This window comes from Homo sapiens, chromosome 15 (assembly GCF_000001405.40).
Source record: "Homo sapiens chromosome 15, GRCh38.p14 Primary Assembly".
In the NCBI taxonomy this organism is placed as follows: domain Eukaryota; kingdom Metazoa; phylum Chordata; class Mammalia; order Primates; family Hominidae; genus Homo; species Homo sapiens.
Window position 1 is genome coordinate 59,803,326 of NC_000015.10, and position 20,460 is coordinate 59,823,785.

At 40.1% G+C, this 20,460-nt stretch overlaps 3 annotated features.

The window, feature by feature from the left end:
- Positions 297–825: an enhancer, noted in NCBI's record as "H3K27ac hESC enhancer chr15:60095821-60096349 (GRCh37/hg19 assembly coordinates)". NCBI's record gives its function as "activates a minimal SCP1, AML or CMV promoter by ChIP-STARR-seq in naive H9 embryonic stem cells {active_cell/tissue: H9 hESC(naive)}" and the evidence as "EXISTENCE:reporter gene assay evidence [ECO:0000049][PMID:30033119]".
- Positions 558–607: a silencer, noted in NCBI's record as "silent region_6493". NCBI's record gives its function as "represses an Ori minimal core promoter by ATAC-STARR-seq in GM12878 lymphoblastoid cells {active_cell/tissue: GM12878}" and the evidence as "EXISTENCE:reporter gene assay evidence [ECO:0000049][PMID:35858748]".
- Positions 11,111–11,311: a silencer, noted in NCBI's record as "peak2359 fragment used in MPRA reporter construct". NCBI's record gives its function as "represses an SCP1 promoter by STARR-seq MPRAs in K562 erythroleukemia cells {active_cell/tissue: K562}" and the evidence as "EXISTENCE:reporter gene assay evidence [ECO:0000049][PMID:32103011]".

Consider the following 20,460-nt stretch of genomic DNA (forward strand, 5'->3'; position numbering starts at 1 on the left):
AAAGCTGGCATTTAGAAATTAGGGAGGAGCTGGGAAGGAAAGAGGATAATTTCCAAACCCTCGTCAGTTCTCATTCAAGCGTGAGCGACGCGCAGAAGACGGGTGATTTCTGCATTTCCAACTTAGGTACCGTATTCATCTCACTGGGGAGTGTTGGATAGAGGGTGCAGGACAGTGGCTGCAGTGCACCGAGCATGAGCCAAAGCAGGGTGAGGCATTGCCTCATCCGGGAAGTGCAAGGGGTCAGGGAATTCCCTTTCCTAGTCAAAGAAAGGGGTGATAGATGGCACCTGGAAAATCGGGTCACTCCCACCCTAATATTGAGCTTTTCTCACGGTCTTAGCAAACGGCACAGCTGCAGATTATATCCCATGCCTCACTCGGAGGGTCCTACGCCCACGGAGCCTCACTCATTGCTAGCACAGCAGTCTGAGATCAAACTGCAAGGCGGCAGCGAGGCTGGGGGAGGGGTGCCCACCATTGCTCAGGCTTGCGTAGGTAAACAAAGCAGTCAGGAAGCTTGAACTGGGTGGAGTCCACCGCAGCTCAAGGAGGCCTGCCTGGCTCTATGGACTCCACCTCTGGGGGCAGGGCATAGTGAAACAAAAGGCAGCAGAAATCTCTGCAGACTTAAATGTCCCTGACTGACAGCTTTGAAGAGAGTAGTGGTTCTCCCGCACACAGCTGGAGATCTGAGAACGGGTAGACAGCCTCTTCAAGTGGGTCCCTGACCCCCGAGTAGCCTAACTGGGAAGCACCCCCCAGTAGGGGCAGACTGACACCTCACACAGCTGGGTACTCCTCTGAGACAAAACTTCCAGAGGAACGATCAGGCAGCAACATTTGCTGTTCACCAATATTCACTGTTCTGCAGCCTCCGCTGCTGATACCCAGGTAAACAGGGTCTGGAGTGGACCTCCAGCAAACTCCGACAGACCTGCAGCTGAGGGTCCTGACTGTTAGAAGGAAAACTAACAAACAAAGGACATCCACACCAAAACCCCATCTGTACGTCACCATCATCAAAGACCAAAGGTAGATAAAGCCACAAAGATGGGGAAAAAACAGAGCAGAAAAACTAGAAACTCAAAATCAGAGCGCCTCTCCTCCTCCAAAGGAACACAGCTCCTCACCAGCAATGGAACAAAGCTGGACAGAGAATGACTTTGACGAGTTGAGAAAAGAAGGCTTCAGATGATCAAACTACTCCGAGCTAAAGGAGGAAGCTCGAACCCATGGCAAAGAAGTTAAAAACCTTGAAAAAAAATTAGACGAATGGCAAACTAGAATAACTAATGCAGAGAAGTCCTTAAAGGACCTGATGGAGCTGAAAACCAAGGCATGAGAACTACGTGACAAATGCACAAGCCTCAGTAGCCGATTCGATCAACTGGAAGGAAGGGTATCAGTGATGAAAGATGAAATGAATGAAATGAAGCGAGAAGAGAAGTTTAGAGAAAAAAGAATAAAAAGAAATGAACAAAGCCTCCAAGAAATATGGGACTATGTGAAAAGACCAAATCTACGTCTGATTGGCATACCTGAAAGTGACGGGGAGAATGGAACCAAGTTGGAAAACACTCTGCAGGATATTATCCAGGAGAACTTCCCCAATCTAGCAAGGCAGGCCAACATTCAAATTCAGGAAATACAGAGAACGCCACAAAGATACTCCCCAAGAAGAGCAAGTCTAAGACACATAATTGTCAGATTCACCAAAGTTGAAACGAAGGAAAAAATGTTAAGGGCAGCCAGAGAGAAAGGTCAGGTGACCCACAAAGGGAAGCCCATCAGACTAACAGCTGATCTCTCAGCAGAAACTCTACAAGCCAGAAGAGATTGGGGGCCAATATTCAACATTCTTAAAGAAAAGAATTTTCAACCCAGAATTTCATATCCAGCCAAACTAAGCTTCATAAGTGAAGGAGAAATAAGATCCTTTACAGACAAGCAAATGCTGAGAGATTTTGTCACCACCAGGCCTGCCCTATAAGAGCTCCTGAAGGAAGCACTAAACATGGAAAGGAACAACTGGTACCAGCCACTGCAAAAACATGCCAAATTGTAAAGACCATCGAGGCTAGGAAGAAACTGTATCAACTAACAAGCAAAATAACCAGCTAACATCATAATGACAGGATCAAATTCACACATAACAATATTAACCTTAAATGTAAATGGGCTAAATGCTCCAATTAAAAGACACAGAGTGGCAAATTGGATAAAGAGTCAAGACCCATCAGTGTGCTGTATTCAGGAAACCCATCTCACGTGCAGAGACACACATAGGCTGAAAATAAAGGGATGGAGGAAGATCTACCAAGCAAATGGAAAACAAAAAAAGGCAGGGGTTGCAATCCTGGTCTTTGATGAAACCGACTTTAAACCAACAAAGATCAAAAGAGACAAAGAAGGCCATTACATAATGGTAAAGGGATCAATTCAACAAGAAGAGCTAACGATCCTAAATATATATGCACCCAATACAGGAGCACCCAGATTCATAAAGCAAGTCCTTAGAGACCTACAAAGAGACTTAGACTCCCACACAATAATAATGGGAGACTTTAACACCCCACTGTCAACATTAGACAGATCAACGAGACAGAAAGTTAACAAGGATATTCAGGAATTGAACTCAGCTCTGGACCAAGCGGATCTAACAGACATCTACAGAACTCTCCACCCCAAATCAACAGAATATACATTCTTTTCAGCACCACACCACACCTATTCCAAAATTGACCACATGGTTGGAAGTAAAGCACTCCTCAGCAAATGTAAAAGAACAGAAATTATAACAAACTATCTCTCAGACCACAGTGCAATCAAACTAGAACTCAGGATTAAGAAACTCACTTAAAACCACTCAACTACATGGACACTGAACAACCTGCTCCTGAATGACTACTGGGTACATAACGAAATGAAGGCAGAAATAAAGATGTTCTTTGAAACCAATGAGAACAAAGACACAACATACCAGAATCTCTGAGGCACGTTCAAAGCAGTGTGTAGAGGGAAATTTATATCACTAAATGCCCACAGGAGAAACCAGGAAAGATCTAAAGTTGACATCCTAACATCACAATGAAAAGAACTAGAGAAGCAAGAGTAAACACATTCAAAAGCTAGCAGAAGGCAAGAAATAACTAAGATCAGAGCAGAACTGAAGGAAATAGAGACACAAAAAACCCTTCAAAAAATCAATGAATCCAGGAGCTGGTTTTTGGAAAAGATCAACAAAATTGATAGACTGCTAGCAAGACTAATAAAGAAGAAAAGAGAGAAGAATCAAATAGACGCAATAAAAAATGATAAAGGGGATATCACCACCGATCCCACAGAAATACAAACTACCATCAGAGAATACTATAAACACCTCTACACAAATAAACTAGAAAATCTAGAAGAAATGGATAAATTCCTAGACACAGAGACCCTCCCAAGACTAAACCAAGAAGAAGTAGAATCTCTGAATAGACCAACAACAGGGTCTGAAATTGAGGCAATAATTAATAGCTTACCAACCAAAAAGAGTCCAGGACCAGATAGATTCACAGCCGAGCTATACCAGAGGTACAAAGAGGAGCTGGTACCATTCCTTCTGAAACTATTCCAATCAATAGAAAAAGAGGGAATCCTCCCCAACTCATTTTATGAGGCCAGCATCATCCTGATACCAAAGCCTGGCAGAGACACAACCAAAAAAGAGAACTTTAGACCAATATTCCTGATGAACACTGATGCAAAAATCCTTAATAAAATACTGGCAAACCGAGTCCAGCAGCACATCAAAAAGCTTATCCACCATGATCAAGTGGGCTTCATCCCTGGGGATGCAAGGCTGGTTCAACATATGCAAATCAATAAATGTAATCCAGCATATAAACAGAACCAAAGACAAAAACCACATGATTATCTCAATAGATGCAGAAAAGGCCTTTGACAAAATTCAACAACGCTTCATGCTAAAAACTCTCAATAAATTAGGTATTGATGGGACGTATCTCAAAATAATAAGAGGTATCTATGACAAACCCACAGCCAATATCATACTGAATGGGCAAAAACTGGAAGCATTCCCTTTGAAATCTGGCACAAGACAGGGATGCCCTCTCTCACCACTCCTATTCAACATAGTGTTGGAAGTTCTGGCCAGGGCAATTAGGCAGGAGAAGGAAATAAAGGGTATTCAATTAGGAAAAGAGGAAGTCAAATTGTCCCTGTTTGCAGATGACATGATTGTATATCTAGAAAACCCCATCGTCTCAGCCCAAAATCTCCTTAAGCTGACAAGCAACTTCAGCAAAGTGTCAGGATACAAAATCAATGTGCAAAAATCACAAGCATTCTTATACACCAATAACAGACAGAGAGCCAAATCATGAGTGAACGCCCATTCACAATTGCTTCAAAGAGAATAAAATACCTAGGAATCCAACTTACAAGGGACGTGAAGGACCTCTTCAAGGAGAACTACAAACCACTGCTCAATGAAATAAAAGAGGATATAAACAAATGGAAGAACATTCCACGCTCATGGATAGGAAGAATCAATATCGTGAAAATGGCCATACTGCCCAAGGTAATTTATAGATTCAATGCCATCCCCACCAAGCTACTAATAGACTTTCTTCACAGAATTGGAAAAAACTACTTTAAAGTTCATATGGAACCAAAAAAGAGCTGGCATTGCCAAGTCAATCCTAAGCCAGAAGAACAAAGCTGGAGGCATCACGCTACCTGACTTCAAACTATACTACAAGGCTATAGTAACCAAAACAGCATGGTACTGGTACCAAAACAGAGATACAGACCAATGGAACAGAATAGAGCCCTCAGAAATAAGGCTGCATATATACAACTATCTGATCTTTGACAAACCTGACAAAAGCAAGAAATGGAGAAAGGATTCCCCACTTAATAAATGGTGCTGGGAAAACTGGCTAGCCATATGTAGAAAGCTGAAACTGGTTCCCTTCCTTACACCTTATACAAAAATTAATTCAAGATGGATTAAAGACTTAAATGTTAGACCTAAAACCATAAAAACCCTAGAAGAAAACCTAGGCAATACCATTCAGGGCATAGGCATGGGCAAGGACTTCATGTCTAAAACACCAAAAGCAATGGCAACAGAAGCCAAAACTGACAAATGGGATCTGATTAAACTAAAGAGCTTCTGCACAGCAAAAGAAAATACCATCAGAGTGAACAGGCAACCTACAGAATGGGAGAAAATTTTTGCAATCTACTCATCTGACAAAGGGCTAATATCCAGAATCTACAAAGAACTCAAACACATTTACAAGAAAAAAACAAACAACCCCATCAAAAAGTGGGCAAAGGATATGAACAGACACTTCTCAAAAGAGGACATTTATGCAGCCAAAAGACACATGAAAAAATGCTCATCATCATTGGCCATCAGAAAAATGCAAATGAAAATCGCAATGAGATACCATCTCACACCAGTCAGAATGGCGATCATTAAAAAGTCAGGAAACAACAGGTGCTGGAGAGGATATGGAGAAATAGGAACACTTTTACACTGTTGGTGGGACTGTAAACTAGGTCAACCATTGTGGAAGTCAGTGTGGCGATTCCTCAGGGATCTAGAATTAGAAATACCATTTGACCAAGCCATCCCATTACTGGGTATATACCCAAAGGATTACAAATCATGCTGCTATAAAGACACATGCACATGTATGTTTATTGCGGCACTATTCACAATAGCAAATACTTGGAACCAACCCAAATGTCCAACAATGATAGACTGGATCAAGAAAATGTGGCACATATACACCATGGAATACTATGCAGCCATAAAAAATGATGAGTTCATGTCCTTTGTAGGGACATGGATGAAGCTGGAAACCATCATTCTCAGCAAACTATCGCAAGGACAAAAAAACCAAACACCGCTCGTTCTCACTCATAGGTGGGAATTGAACAATGAGAACACATGGACACAGGAAGGGGAACATCACACACTGGGGCCTGTTGTGGGGTGGGGGGAGGGGGAGGAGTAGCATTAGGAGATATACGTAATGTTAAATGACGAGTTAATGGGTGCAGCACACCAAGATGGCACATATATACATATGTAACAAACCTGCATGTTGTGCACATGTACGCTAAAACTTAAAGTATTAAAAAAAAAGCTAATTCAAATATCTTAGCAGAAAAAAAAAAGAGACGATAAAATAACATGAATTGATTGGATTCATGTCTATCAGCATATAAGCAATCAAAGGAATTACTATGTATGGACCCCCAAAGCAAAATAAATGAATGGGGACTAAACCCAGGACCTGAATTGTTTTTGAGTTCTCAGTAGTTTCATATATTATATGCTTTTTTTTTTTTTTTTTTTTTTGGTCAGGCTCTCATTTGTTGCCCAGGCTGTAATCCAGTGGCACAATCATAGCTCACTGTAGCCTTGAACTTCTGGGCTCAAGCAATTCTCCTACTTCAGCCTCCCATATAGCTAGGACTAGAGGACTACAAGCCACTACACATGGCCAATTAAAAAAAAATAGAGACAGGGGTCTCACTGTGTTACCCAGGTTAGTCTCGAATCCCTGGCCTCAAGTGATCTTCTCGCCATTGCCACCCAAAATGTTGGGATTATAGGCGTGAGCTACCACACCCAGTCTTACATGCATTTTAAATTTTTAAATAATTTTTTTTTTTGCATTTTAGACTTTAAAAAGTGCATGATATTGGATATCTGTAGAATGCCCTGATATTTTCTATTCTTCAATATGTCTTCCTTTCCTTAATTGTCTTTAGTAAGATAGAAAGTATTTTACAACTATTTTTTAATGCATTAGTTCTCAACTGGAAATGATTGTGCCCTTCCCTAGGGGAGATTTGGTGATGTCTGGAGATATTTTTGGTTGTCACAGTTGGGGTGGGGAGTGCTACTGGCATTTAGTGGTGGAGGCCAAGGACATTGCTAAATATCTTACAATGCACAGGACAGCTCCATAACAAATAATTATCTGGCCAAAAATGTCAATAGTTTCGAGGTTGAAAACCTTTGCTTTAATCTGAAAGAGATTCCATTTTTGGTTCAAGTTAATTTTCTCTGGCAGCATACTTTAGGAGATCATCTGAGCCTGCAAATTTTGGTGTTGGCCTTAATTCTCAGTCTCCACCTATGCACCTACATATTCACTCACTCATGCTTTCGCTCATTCACTACTTCCTCACTTTTACAGAAAAAAAGCACATCATATGGAGGTTAAAATATAATTTATTGTCCAAACTGGGACACTATTGAGGGTTGTTAATAAATAATCTGGACAGTGGAAGCAAATCAACAATGTCCTGAGTTAATCTGATTATATGGTAGCTGTAACTGTATGGCAGCACGAAAAAATGTCCAAAATGACAAATAAAACATAGAAGCCCGGGCACAGTCGCTCACGCCTGTAATCCCAGCACTTTGGGAGGCTGAGATGGGCAGATCACCTGAGGTCAGAAGTTTGAGACCAGCCTGGTCAACATGGCGAAGCCCCATTTCTACAAAAAATACAAAAATTAGCTGGGCGTGGTGGCATGTGTCTCAGCTACTCGGGAGGCTGAGGCATGAGAATCGCTTCAACCTGGGAGGTAGAAGTTGCAGGGAGCCAAGATGGCACCATTGCCCTCTAGCCTGGGTAGCAGAGCAAAACTCTGTTCCCCCCAAAAAATAAATAAATAAAAATAAAAATAAAAAAACAGAGACATTTCTTATGACAACCAATTGGGAAAATGGGGTTTCAGCGATGGAACTGAACATCAAAGCTGAAGTCTAAGCTCATTTCTGATTTGTGTGTTGATGAGATCATGACATTAAAAAAAAAATTCCAGTACATATCCATTACAATTGGCTTAAAAAAAATTCTATAGAGATGTGGTCTCACTATGTTGAGCAGGCTGGTCTCGAACTCCAGGCCTCCAGGGATCGTCCTGTCTTGGTCTCCTAAATTGTTAGGATCATAGGCGTAAGCCACCATGCCCACCCTGGGGTTCATTTTTGGAAAGAAAAAATAAGCAAATAACTCAGGATAGATACAGAATATAAACCCTATTAAAGGTATTATAACGGGCACTTTTCAAAAAGCACCCATATAATGCTTGCACATAGTAGGGGCTCAACAGATGACTGCTGAAGAATAAATCTACATGGTCTTGTCTGACATGTGGGGAAACTGTCTCCATTTAAAGTGTATATTATATTAATTGGAGTGATTTTCTGGATACACAAAGTAGGGCCACCACCCCTTCTGCCCTACGACAAAAAATCAGAAATGTTGGATTTGTCAAAATACAACAAAACTGTTCAGGCAATATAAATAATTATAAATGCCAGTAAAGTCACTTTTCTGTTTTGCTTTTGATCTGTAAGGTTACTAGTGGATGAGATAATCTTTTATTTATATTGCATGTGGTAAAATTTCGAAGCAAGATTGTTGTGCTCCTCACACCCTCCCTTCATAATTAAGCCCGTAGGGCTGGCCGGCTGGCTGATATTTTTTAACGCAGAGCTTGTCAATTTCTGTTAATACTAATTTAGAGTTCATAGCTCCATATATCATGGAAATGTACGGGCAAAACAAATTATATAAAAAATATTTTGAGAGGAGTTGAACAAATGGAGGATCATTTCTGCATTGACTAGTGAGCGTTTCTGTTCTGATTACAGCACCAATTTATGTACAGTGGCACGGGGAGCTCACCTTTCATGATTCCCAAATTGGATTTTGCCAGGTTCCTTTCTACGTGCCCTCCCGCTATAAATAAACGCTTTCCCCCGTCTCTTTACCATGTGTTGTCTTTTTAATTATTCCCCAAACTCTAATATAGTCAGTCCAGATCTTGTTTTGCCATTAACTCAGGAAGAAAAGAGGCTGCCTCCTGCATTTCACACGAAACATTACAAGGGCAGGCCGGGGGCTTTTGTCTCTTACCACCTTCAGGAGACAGAACAATAGGCAGCTATATAATCTTGTGACACCCACAACTAATTTATCCAACCAGAAGACAGGTAGCACTCGGCTCTGCCGCTCCTGTCTGAATAGGTGCAGTAAATACTCAGCTTAATAGTAGCTTTTCAGGCAGAAGGGCAACACATCACAGCGTGGCGTTTTTGTAATCTTCCTCGCATGCCGACAGCCAGGGGCCCGCGCATGTTTCTCCTCGGTGGGGTTTAGGATGCATGGAACTGTTAGATGGTGACATATTGTGCCTTTAAGCAAGTTTAACTGTTTTATATCCCCTCTGATCTGCAGCTTTGTACATCTGTTAAGCTGCCTCTTAAACTTCTGTGGGCACATCTGTGGATTTGCTACTTGAAGCTTGGCGTGTGGTGCAGGCCATGCGGGATTTCCTTGCGACTGCCTCCTGTTTATCTGTGAAGAGTTTTTCTGTTACACTGCAAGGCCACAGTTAAATACATTGTCTTGGCCAAAAAGATAATAATAACCTTGCGACAGTCAGGAGGAATGTACTTAGCAAAGGCTGAACAAAAATCTTATCTGGAGAAGCACTGATTAAAAAACAAATGAAAAAAAGCAAACTTTTTTTTTTTTCACCATTTATTTGTCACATATCTGTGGGTCATCTAGGACTCAGTTGCTCTGGCTCCAAGCCAGATCTAGGATGTACTTCTCTGCCTGTCTCCTCCTCCTTAAACAAGAGGTTACTCAAGGCTTGTTCTTGCTATAGTGAAGCTAATGCAACCTTGCTTCAAGACTTACATCATGTCTGCTAACAGCCCATTGGCCAAAACAACTTACAGGGACGGCTAAGCCCAGGTCAAGAGGCAGGACAGCACACTCTACTTACTATGAGACCAAAACAAGTCACAGAACCAAGCTCAGCATCAAAGGGACAGGGAAGCACATTCTTTCCAGGAAAGTGGGAGTGTGAGAGGAGGTGAATAGTTGCTGTATCATAATCTAATCTACAACCTTGTTTCTACCTGCAAAATGAAGAAAGCACAGCTATCTGGTAGATAGTGGAATTTTGCATACATTGAATCCATCAATATGGGTTCCATTTCTGAAAGATGCCCAGGACATCATGATAGGATGAGCAACCAAAAAATCTTGGTCATGTTCAAGAGGTCACCCCTACGACCTGTCAGAAACACGCACTAGGGGATTTTGAGAGCTTGATCCTGATTCTTCAGGTTGTGGAGAAATATTCCACGGTTTGAAAGTTTATCTGCAAGGGGAATGAAAGGGAGACACTACTTGACAAACTCAGTTTTTAAATATTTACCTCTTTTTTTGATATAAACTTTGTTTACTCAACAGACCTGTGTCCTATTCTCTTAGCACTTTTGGTGCCTAAATACTTGAAGAAAATAAATGTGCATGAGGGTGTCTGGGCTTATATCAGGACTGGTATTCATCTGCACACACAAGCATGATATACTGCTAGCATCCATTCTGATTGGCCAACTGACCACTCGGGTTGGTGTCCTTGCTGGATGGTTGGTTAAATATTTTGAATATCGCCGTTAGCTGACATATTTACAGTTCTGTGATTCTGGCTCTTTGTTAGGCATGTACATTATGATTCCCTATTGGGGTTCATCGATTCTTCTAAGAGAAACTATCTCACTCACAGCTTTTGCAGAACATCAGCCTTTGGTTCAATCATGGAGCTCTATGTCTCAGCCACCCTCCCACCCTGGCCATAGCTAATTAGACTAGGGATAGGCACCTGACCCAAAGACAGCCAGGGATCATGATCAGGCTGTTATTAGGTTTTTATTTAAATGTGTTGAACCAATTAAATTTTCTCTCTTAAGATAATGAATCGGGAAATATGGAAGTATTATCAGTGGCTAAAAATTTATCTGGAAGAATGACATTTTGCACTGTATTTAAAAATCAACTTGTTTGAATCAATCTGTATTAATTATCTGTTGTGGCATAACAAAATACCCCAGAACTTAGTGGTTATACACAACAATAAACATTATCTCACAGTTTCCAGTTATGCACAGCAGGGTCCTCTGCGTTAGGGTCTCTCATGAGGCTGCAGTCAGGTGTTGGCTGAAGCTACAGTCATTTCAAGCCTTAACTGGAGTAGGATCCAGTTCTAAACTCACGTGGTTATTGGCAGGCTGCAGTTCTTCACAGGCTGTCGGACGGAGGACCTCAGTTCCTTTCTGGCTCTTTGCTGGAGGTTTCCCCCAGTGTCTTGCCAGGTGGCCCTCTACGTCAGAGCAGCCGTGCTAGAAAAGCCAGGGAGAGAATGCAGGCAAGTTGAAAGTCACAGTCTTATCACTTTATCTCAGAAGTGACATGTGTATCAGCCTGGGTTCAACCAGAGGAACAGAAGCAGTAGGAGATAAATGTGAAGAGATTTACTGCAAGGAAGTGGCTTACCTGATTGTGGGGGCCGGCTAGGCACATCGGAGATCTGTAGGACAGGCCGTTAGAAAGGAACTGTTAGCATGGGCTGAACTGCTGTTGACAGGTGGAATTTCTTCTCCTTCAGGGAAGCCTCAGCCCTGCTTAAGGCCTTTCAATAGATTGAATCCCATTCACCTCAATTATGTTGTATCATCTCTCTTACTTAAAGTCAGCTGATTATGAACTTTAATTACATCTGCAGAATACCTTCACAGAAACACCTGGACCAGTGTTTGAAGTTGACACAACAAAAAATTCCATCATAACATCCTTTCCGTTTTGCCATATGTTATTCAGTAGAAGTAAGTCACTGGTTTAACTCACACTCAAAGGGAAGGTACTACACAGAGTGTGAATACCAGGAAGCAGGGATCATCGGGAACCATTTTACAAGACTATTCACCAGAGTCACTTTTTATTTTACTTGCAAGATAATTTTGCAAGGGCAAATGACTCTAAAAAGGTTCTTAAGTGAAAAAATCTGCACCACTTATATTTGCTGAGTGAATTATGGTTAAATGAATAAGGTCTTGTTCAGTGGTAATTACACAGGTTTGGTGAGTAAACATAGTTTGTGTCTCCCATTCTGTACGACAAACAAATCCAATTCTGTACAACAAAAATTCTAATAAATGTGGTTTTCACTAACAAATATTTATAACTTCAAGGTTACAGGTCAGTGCTCCTCAGAACTGTTATAGCAAATCTCTGAATATCATACGAAAGTCCTTTGGTCTTCTTAGTTTAAATGTAGATTGAAACTTTTCAGTTGACGAAAATACAGAAAATACATATGGATTTACCTTAAGGTTAGTGAAAGTTAGTATGTAAATATAGGCCAATCTTCTTTATCATTTATTTTTTATTTATTTATTTTTTTGAGACAGGGTCTCACTCCTTTGCCCAGGCTGGAGTGCAGTGGCACAATCTCAGCTCACTGCAGCCTCCACCTCCCCAGGCTCAGGTGATCCTCCTGCCTCAGCCTCCCAAGTAGGTGGGACTACCAGTGCATACCACCACACCTGGCTAATTTTTGTATTTTTGGTAGAGAGAGGGTTTCCTTCTCTTTTTAAACAAAAGATCATGGCTATCCTAGTATTTTGCATTCTCAAAATCTCTTGTGTCAAACAGTTCTTCACTTAAAGTATTTTATTAAAGACTGTTGAAAGGTATGACAAATGGACTCAATTATAATTTTAACCAAGGCTGAATTAAATAATTTGGGGCTTATAGCTCTATTTCTACAGTTGGGGGAGAGAAAGGCCAACGAGACATTTGGGACTGTGAAGCGCCAAAGTTATGAATAACTAAAGGCTTGAATGAGCAGAAGCTTTGAGATAGAATGAAAGCCAGTGGAAAAGAGGCAAGCAGACATGCAAGGGTGGAGATGGAAGGAGAGTGCAGGACAGCGGCTGGCAGGGCCCCAGAAGACCCAGGACCTTCGGCTGCTGAGGCTGCCTTGAGCCCACTCCCTGTCTCCACAGGGCCTGCTCTGACCATTGTTCCTGAGTTCCTCCTCTCAGTTACTGACCAACTCCCCCCCCAACATCCCCCATTCCATCATATTACTTGCTTGAGTGAGTTTCTGTTCTTCTCTTCAGGAAAATGGATGGTACACATTTATAAAACAGTACCTTTATAGTTTGGCTCTAATGCAAGTTACCTAAAATCAAGGGGAGGGCTTTTTCACTGGTATGCTTTATCAGATTTTCCATGATTAATCTGTTCATCAGTTCGTACATATTTACTAAATGAGAGGTGTCAGGGTAGTCATGATGAACTAATGCCTAACATTTATTAAACACTTCTCATGGGTGAAACACTGATCCAAGAGACCATTCCACTGTGAGGTACCACCAAACGATCACGGAATTATCAAGAATTTTGCAATTTAGTTAGAGACAAGATACTTGTCCCATAAAGCTTAATCTGCAACACAAAACACCAATAATAAAGATGCTAGAATTACTTTCCTGACAAACATCTCAAAGAGCCATATAGACAGTAAGTGTTGTGCATCTGAGGGACTGCTCCAGGGTGGAATTATCTGAAAAGGCTGGAGGACTTAATCTGGGATTTTAAGGATGGGCAGTTTTCAGAAAGGTAGAAAGACCAGAGAGAGCAATGGATTATTCAACAAATATTTATTACATGCTTAATCATGGTCAGGCTCTGTGCTAGGGGTTGGAGACATGAGGATGAACAAGACAGTCCCTTCAAGGAGTTTGTAATCTACAGGGGGATAGACAAGTAAATAGGGAGTAGCAGTAGGCATCAAGGTGGGAAAATGACAAGCTATGTTTCTAGGAAAATGTAGCCTTTGTTATCACTATCACAAGAAGTCTGGCTAAGAGACCTACCACTTGGAAATTAAGGCAGCCCTTGCAGGTTACTCTGGCATTGAGAAGATGTGTCCTCATCAAGCCTCACAGACATAACAATCATCCTATGGGATAGAGAAAGGGCAGGCTGCTCTTGGGTTACCTCCTGCACTCTTCAAAAGCACTCTTCAAAAGACCCTGCAATGCTCTACTTTCTGGAGACCGCTGGCTGGGGGCAGAAACTCTTGCCTCTGCCTAGAGAGGCAACAACACTGATCAGACAAGGGGGAGAGAAAGAGGCTGAAACCCAGAGGGGAAGAATGGATCTTGCAGATGGAAAAAGGGTGCCAAGCCACCATGCTATAATCCTTCATGGAACAAATCTCAGCTTTGCTTAATATTCTCTGATCAAATAGAGAAAGCCTGCAGAGGAGAGATGATAACATACAGTTTATTATACAGGCATGTTTTTGTTTGCTTTTAATTAATTTACTTTTTTTCTGTTTTAAACCATGAACTGTTGGTTTACTATAACAGTGTTGAAAATGAATGGTTGCTTGCTCTATAGTCGAACGCTGAGAAAGTACTCTCATTTCTAATAACCCAAGTTTTAATGACTCCAGAGGGATGAGTAAACAGTAACAACAACAACAAAAAAACTTTAGCTAATGTCACGTAATAATAGCATTAACTGGTCCTCTGCTAGGAAGGTCTGAAGTTGCCATCACATTTGATTACCTTCTTGCTTTCAATCCAGACTTTCTGAGCATTTAGAATATACGTTTCTGGGCTGTTAAAATGAGCGCTACTTAGTTCAGTAGCAAAACAGACCCTTCTCTGGTACAAAATCTCTACTTTTTTTTGGCAGGCTCCAGGGAGATCGTTCCCGGGGGACTTGTGTCAGAGCAGCTTTAGGAGAAAGGAATCTGAACTTGATCCAATATAAGCTTAGGGAATGGGAAGGGCAATGAGGCAGGGGCACCTGTTTATTTCACTGCCGTTACATAGTGATGAGGTCCTTATCTCTGCTGTCCCTTCAAGCTCCATAAATCCTTACAAGGGGGTAGTGGGATCAAATCACACATTTAAATTATTTTCAAAGATGTCAAGCAATTCCAACTTCTTTAATACAGCAACCTCCCAATAGAGAGATAAATCTCCACATCGAAGAGAGGTTTCCCCTTACAAATTTCGGCTGTGAAAAACCTGTTATGTATTTAAGCTTTGGAATTGTGTAAAGCTTTGTTAGGCAAATCAGTGACCAAACCATCTCTCCTAGCCCAAAATCTATGGTTCCTATTTATATACAATGAATTTTCTAGGACTTGAAGAACAGATTTCTTAATGCGGACATCGCCAGTGTTTTGCTTAGCATCCAGGGAGCCGGGAACTGGGTTGAGTTCACAGCAGACTTTTCACTTCAACAAGCCTCACCACTATAATGGAAATTCAAAAGCCTGGAAAGAACGTACACAGCTTCCCTGACTAATTTTATTATGCAGACACACTTAATGGCTCCTGTTACAGTCACAGCTGGGGTGGGAAACAGTACTGGATTGTGACAATCACACTAAATCGACAAGGATTATCAGTCATTAAAAAGGGACCAAATTAGCATCGAGCAGTAATATTTTATACTTATCAAATCTTCTGCTGGTCAAGGTCCATTACTGTATGACACAATAAAGGCAGAAGCCATCAGCTCATTCTCCAGAACGTTTAAATCTCCATTGTATTTGTGTAGGATATAATTTCTGGTCACAATAAAGCCTAATAAAGGTTACACCCCAATGAATAAGGTGTTAATAAATTGACCCATGACATTTAAATGGATAATTATATTTGAGATAAAGGAAGAATCTCTCGTTTCAGTAAAGAAACGAGTTGGGTTTCAAGTTGTGCCCAACCCAAGTTACCTATCAACTATAGGAGGGTTTTACATAGCTTTACAGTGATATAAAATATTAATATGCTCGTTGCCATTGTAGTAGATTAATTATTCATCAGGCTTCCCAACAATTCCTGTCTATCAGAATCATCAAGACTAAATTGAAGATGTTTCCACATGCTAAGGAATTTTATAGAAATTAACTCCTCCCTGGATTTGTAAGCATGGGTTAGAAACGCTAGGATTTCTCTTTCCCTCGACCCCTACCCCTGCCACAGTGTGGCAGCCTGTCACTAGACTTCATCTTCACATGGCAGAGCAGTATAAAATAGAATCAGGAAGTGATTAGGAGGAGATGGAAAGAGTTGTTACTGCACGTGATGAATTAAATCCAACTGGAACAGTTGAACATATGTTATGTACTGATGTCTCTCAGTTCTCATTACAGAACCAGTGCCACAGACAGCTAACAAAACCTATGGAGCAGGGACAAAACAAAACGAAACAGAAGTACTGCAGGGGTTGTAAATACAGCTCTCTTTCAGTCGCTTGGATGGCTTCTCCTCTATATTTCTTGTGCTGCATTAGGCTCAGTAAAAGAAGGCTCAAGTATAACACAACCAACACTAATTGGTTTCATTCATCAATTAATATTTAATTCATGCATTTATTCAAAAAACATTTATGCACTTACATTATGTAACTGTTACACTCTCTTTTGAGAGAATATTGGTTATATTTTCTCAGGCAAATCAAACATATAAAACGTTGCGTAAAAAAAAAATGTTGTGTATTCCTAAAAAGAGATCCTAGGGAACTGGCCACCAAGATTGTCATTTTCTTTTTTAAAGCAGGGACTGGGTTTTGTTATTGTTTTATATGCCAGTGCTTAACAATGAATCTTCAGACTGTAAATGAATATAATTTGTGTTCAAAGGAATTTCCTTTCCAATATGGTGGAGTAGAAACCCTGAACAGATCTCCTTGTGTAAATTACAAACAGCCTGCTTAGAAATGCATTGTTGAGCTGGAAATAAAGTAAGGAAACTTCAGATGCCCCAAATACAGTGGAAGTGGGAACCCATAGAGCAATGAGCTCACCTTTCTTTCTGGGGAGCTTCTGATGTATTTTGGTCACTTTGAACTTTCATTTTGACTACTGCATGGAAAAAGAGGAACAGGAAATAAAATTTATAGCTTACCTAGGATGAGTCTAATAGGAGGTCCTTGCATAAATCTGGGATCCTAAAGAGTTATAATTATCAGAGAAACAGTGAACTACAAATAGGACCTGCTGAGGGGGACGAAAAGAAAGTTGCCTTTCCTGACTTTAACAATGGTCAGGAAAGAGGGTAAAAAAAATCTTTCGTAACCATAAATCAGCCCACATTCAACCCAAATGACACTTTCAGAATACTCTGAAAAAGGTCAAGTCTAAAATTTAATTTAAAATTGTGTAAGGCTTCCGGGCCCAGTGGCTCATGCCTGTAATCCCAGCACTTTGGGAGGCTGAGGCAAGAGGATCGCTTGAGCCCAGGCATTCCAGACCAGCATGGGCAACATGCGCTTGAGCCCAGGCATTCCAGACCAGCATGGGCAACATGGCAAAACCCTGTCTCTATAAAAATTAGCCAGGTGTAGTGGTGCATGCTTGTAGTCCCGGCTATTCGGGAGGCTGAAGGTAGGAGGATCTCTTGAGCCCAAGAGGTCGACACTACAGTGAGCCAAGATCATGCCACTGCACTCCAACCTGGGTGACAGAGCAAGACCCTGTCTCAATAATAACAATGAATAAAATAAAATGGTGTATGGCAACTGGATGAAGCAAATGTTAAACCCTCTGTAGAAGAACATACCTTAAACCAAGGCTTTCAAACTCTCCATGAAATCTGAGCTCACAGTAAAAAGATAATAATAATAATAATAAGCAAAAAAACCAAGATATTGTGGATGACAGCTAAGAAAAATAATGATCAACAGAATGTTGGAATTTCAGGTTCCAAATAAAAATAATTGCATTTTAATATGTTTAATATAAAAATAAGGCACATGGAATCTTAAAAATGATCATGTAGATTTGAAAAAGAACCAAATGGAATTTTTAGAAGTAACACATCAAATAACTGAAATAAAAACTGAATGGATAAATTAGATACAGCTAAAGAGAGAACTCGTGCAATGACAGAGTTGAAGAAATTATTCACAATGCAGCACAGATGAACAAAATGATTTTAAAGGATTGAAAATATTAAAGCGAAAGTGATGCAGAATATGGGATGAAAACATTTTACTTATACCTAATCAGAGTTATGGCAAGAGAGGTGAAAGAAATGTATGAGAAATTCAAGACAGAACGGCTGAAAATTTTTCAGAACTGACAAAGTACACCAACTGTCATATTCCAAGAGCCTAAGGAATCTCAAGCAGGATAAACAAGAGGAAATTTATATGTGGACAACAAAATAAAATTACATAACATTGAAGACAAGGAGTTATTAAAACCAGCTATGGAAAGTATTCCCAAAGGAATGACACTTAGATTAACAGCTGGCTTTTCAACCCATAATGCAATCCAGAAGACTACAAAATGATCTAATGCTCTGAAAGGAAAAAATATATTAAAATAGAATTGTATACCCAATAAAATTAACTTCCAGGAGCAGAGTAAAGATATTTTCATCCTAGCAAAATCAGAGTTTTCTATTAAAAGACCATTAAGAAAGAAAATTCCAAGTGATATCCTTCAAGCAGAGAAAATAAATGATCCCAAATGAAAGTACAGTTTTCAAGGAGAAAAGATAAGCAAAAAAAATCCTAATAAATATACAGTCAAAACTCAGTGGAAATTTACTTAAAAAATAATTGTCTAATTTGTGGGATCAGTAAAAAATAAGATAAAATTAAAATGTAAGTGAGGCAGGAGAATTGCTTGAGTCCAGGAGTTCAAAACCAGCCTGGAAAACATAATGAGACCCTGCCCCTATTTTTTTTCAGTAAAAAAATTTTTTTCTTTAAATTAAACAAATTAAAATATAGGAAGAAAATAGGAAATAAGCTAGGGTTGAAATGATCAAAATTAAAATAGTCTAAGTTCCTTATATTATTTTTGAGAAGGGTAAAATATTAACTTTGTATTTTAAAAAATAATTATTTATATTAAAATGTTCAGGTGGTTACTAAAAGTATATACATAGAGTATACAACTTCCAACTTAGAAGAGAATAAAAAGAGAATGAGCAAAAGAGAAATATGATTAAAACCTTAAAAAAGGCAAGGAAAGAGGAAAAAAAGGAAACAGAATTGGAAGGACAAATGAAAAGCACAAAATAAGGGAGCATAAATAAATCCAAACCGGGTCGGGCACAGTGGCTCACGCCTGTAATCCCGGCACTTTGGGAGGCCGAGGCTGGTGGATCACGAGGTCAGGAGATCGAGACCATCCTGGCTAACATGGTGAAACCCCGACTCTACTAAAAATGCAAAAAATTAGCCGGGCGTGGTGGCGGGTGCCTGTAGTCTTAGCTACTCGGGAGGCTGAGGCAGGAGAATGGCGTGAACCAGGGAGGCGGAGCTTGCAGTGAGCTGAGATCCCACCACTGCACTCCAGCCTGGGCGACAGAGCAAGACCCCATCTCTAAATAAATACATAAATAAATCCAAACCAATCATTAATCTCAATAAGTACACAAGACTAAACAACCCAGTTAAAAAACAAAGATTTTTAGAGCGGATTAAAAAAATGTGACGGCTGTAACAATTCTTAATAACTATTTACTTAATAATGTGGCTTCAAGACATATAAAACAAAAACTGATAAACTTACACAGAGAAACAAACAAAAATCCACCTTTATCTTTTTTCCATTAGTCATAAGACAGAAAATAAGTAACTGTGCAGTTGATCTTCCAAGTGTAATTAACAAACTTTATCTAATGGATAAATAATATACTGCATCCAATACTTGGAAAACACACATCCTTTTTGTTTCAGTTTTTATTGCTGCCATAACAAATACCACCAAATCAGCAGCTTAAAACAACGCAAACTTATTATCTCAAAGTTTTATAGGTCAGAAATCCGTACAGGTCTCACCAGGCTAAAACCAAGGTACCAGGACTGTTTTTCTTACTCAGAGCTTTGGGGGAGAATCTGCTCCTAGCCTAATGTAGATTGTTGGCAGAGTTCAGTCCCGTGCAGTTGTAGGACTGATGTCCCTGTTCCTGCTGGCTGTTGGCCTGAGGTTGTTCTAAGCTTCTAGAGGTCACTTCACAACCCTTCGCTCATAGAGCCCTATGTCTTCAGAGGTAGCAATGGTGTTTGAGTTCATACACTCATCTCTCTTGTCTTCTCTTCTGTCACATCTCTGATTAGCAGAAGACGTTTCTCCATTTTCACAGGCTCATATATTTAGATTGGGCCCATCTGGATAATCTGTGATAATCTCCCCATTTCAAGGTCTGTAATCTTAAACACATCTACAAAGTTTTTATGTGTGGTATATATTATAACATAATTACATATTCCAGGCATTAGGGCATAGGCATCTTTGGGAGATCATTATTCTGGCAACCACACTTTCCAAACTTACATAGAACGTGCAAAATTGTACTCACACATAATCATAAATAAACGTCTACAAAATTCATGTTCTGTGAGCAAAATGTAATTGTGTTACAAAGTAACAAAAGGATAATTAGAAAGCACCAAAAGTTTAAAAATTAAGAAATATAGTTCTGCATACTCATGGACCAAATAAGAAATCAATTACAAGTGGAATAAATAAAAGTAATCCATACCCAAACCTGTGAAGTATAGCCAAAGAACT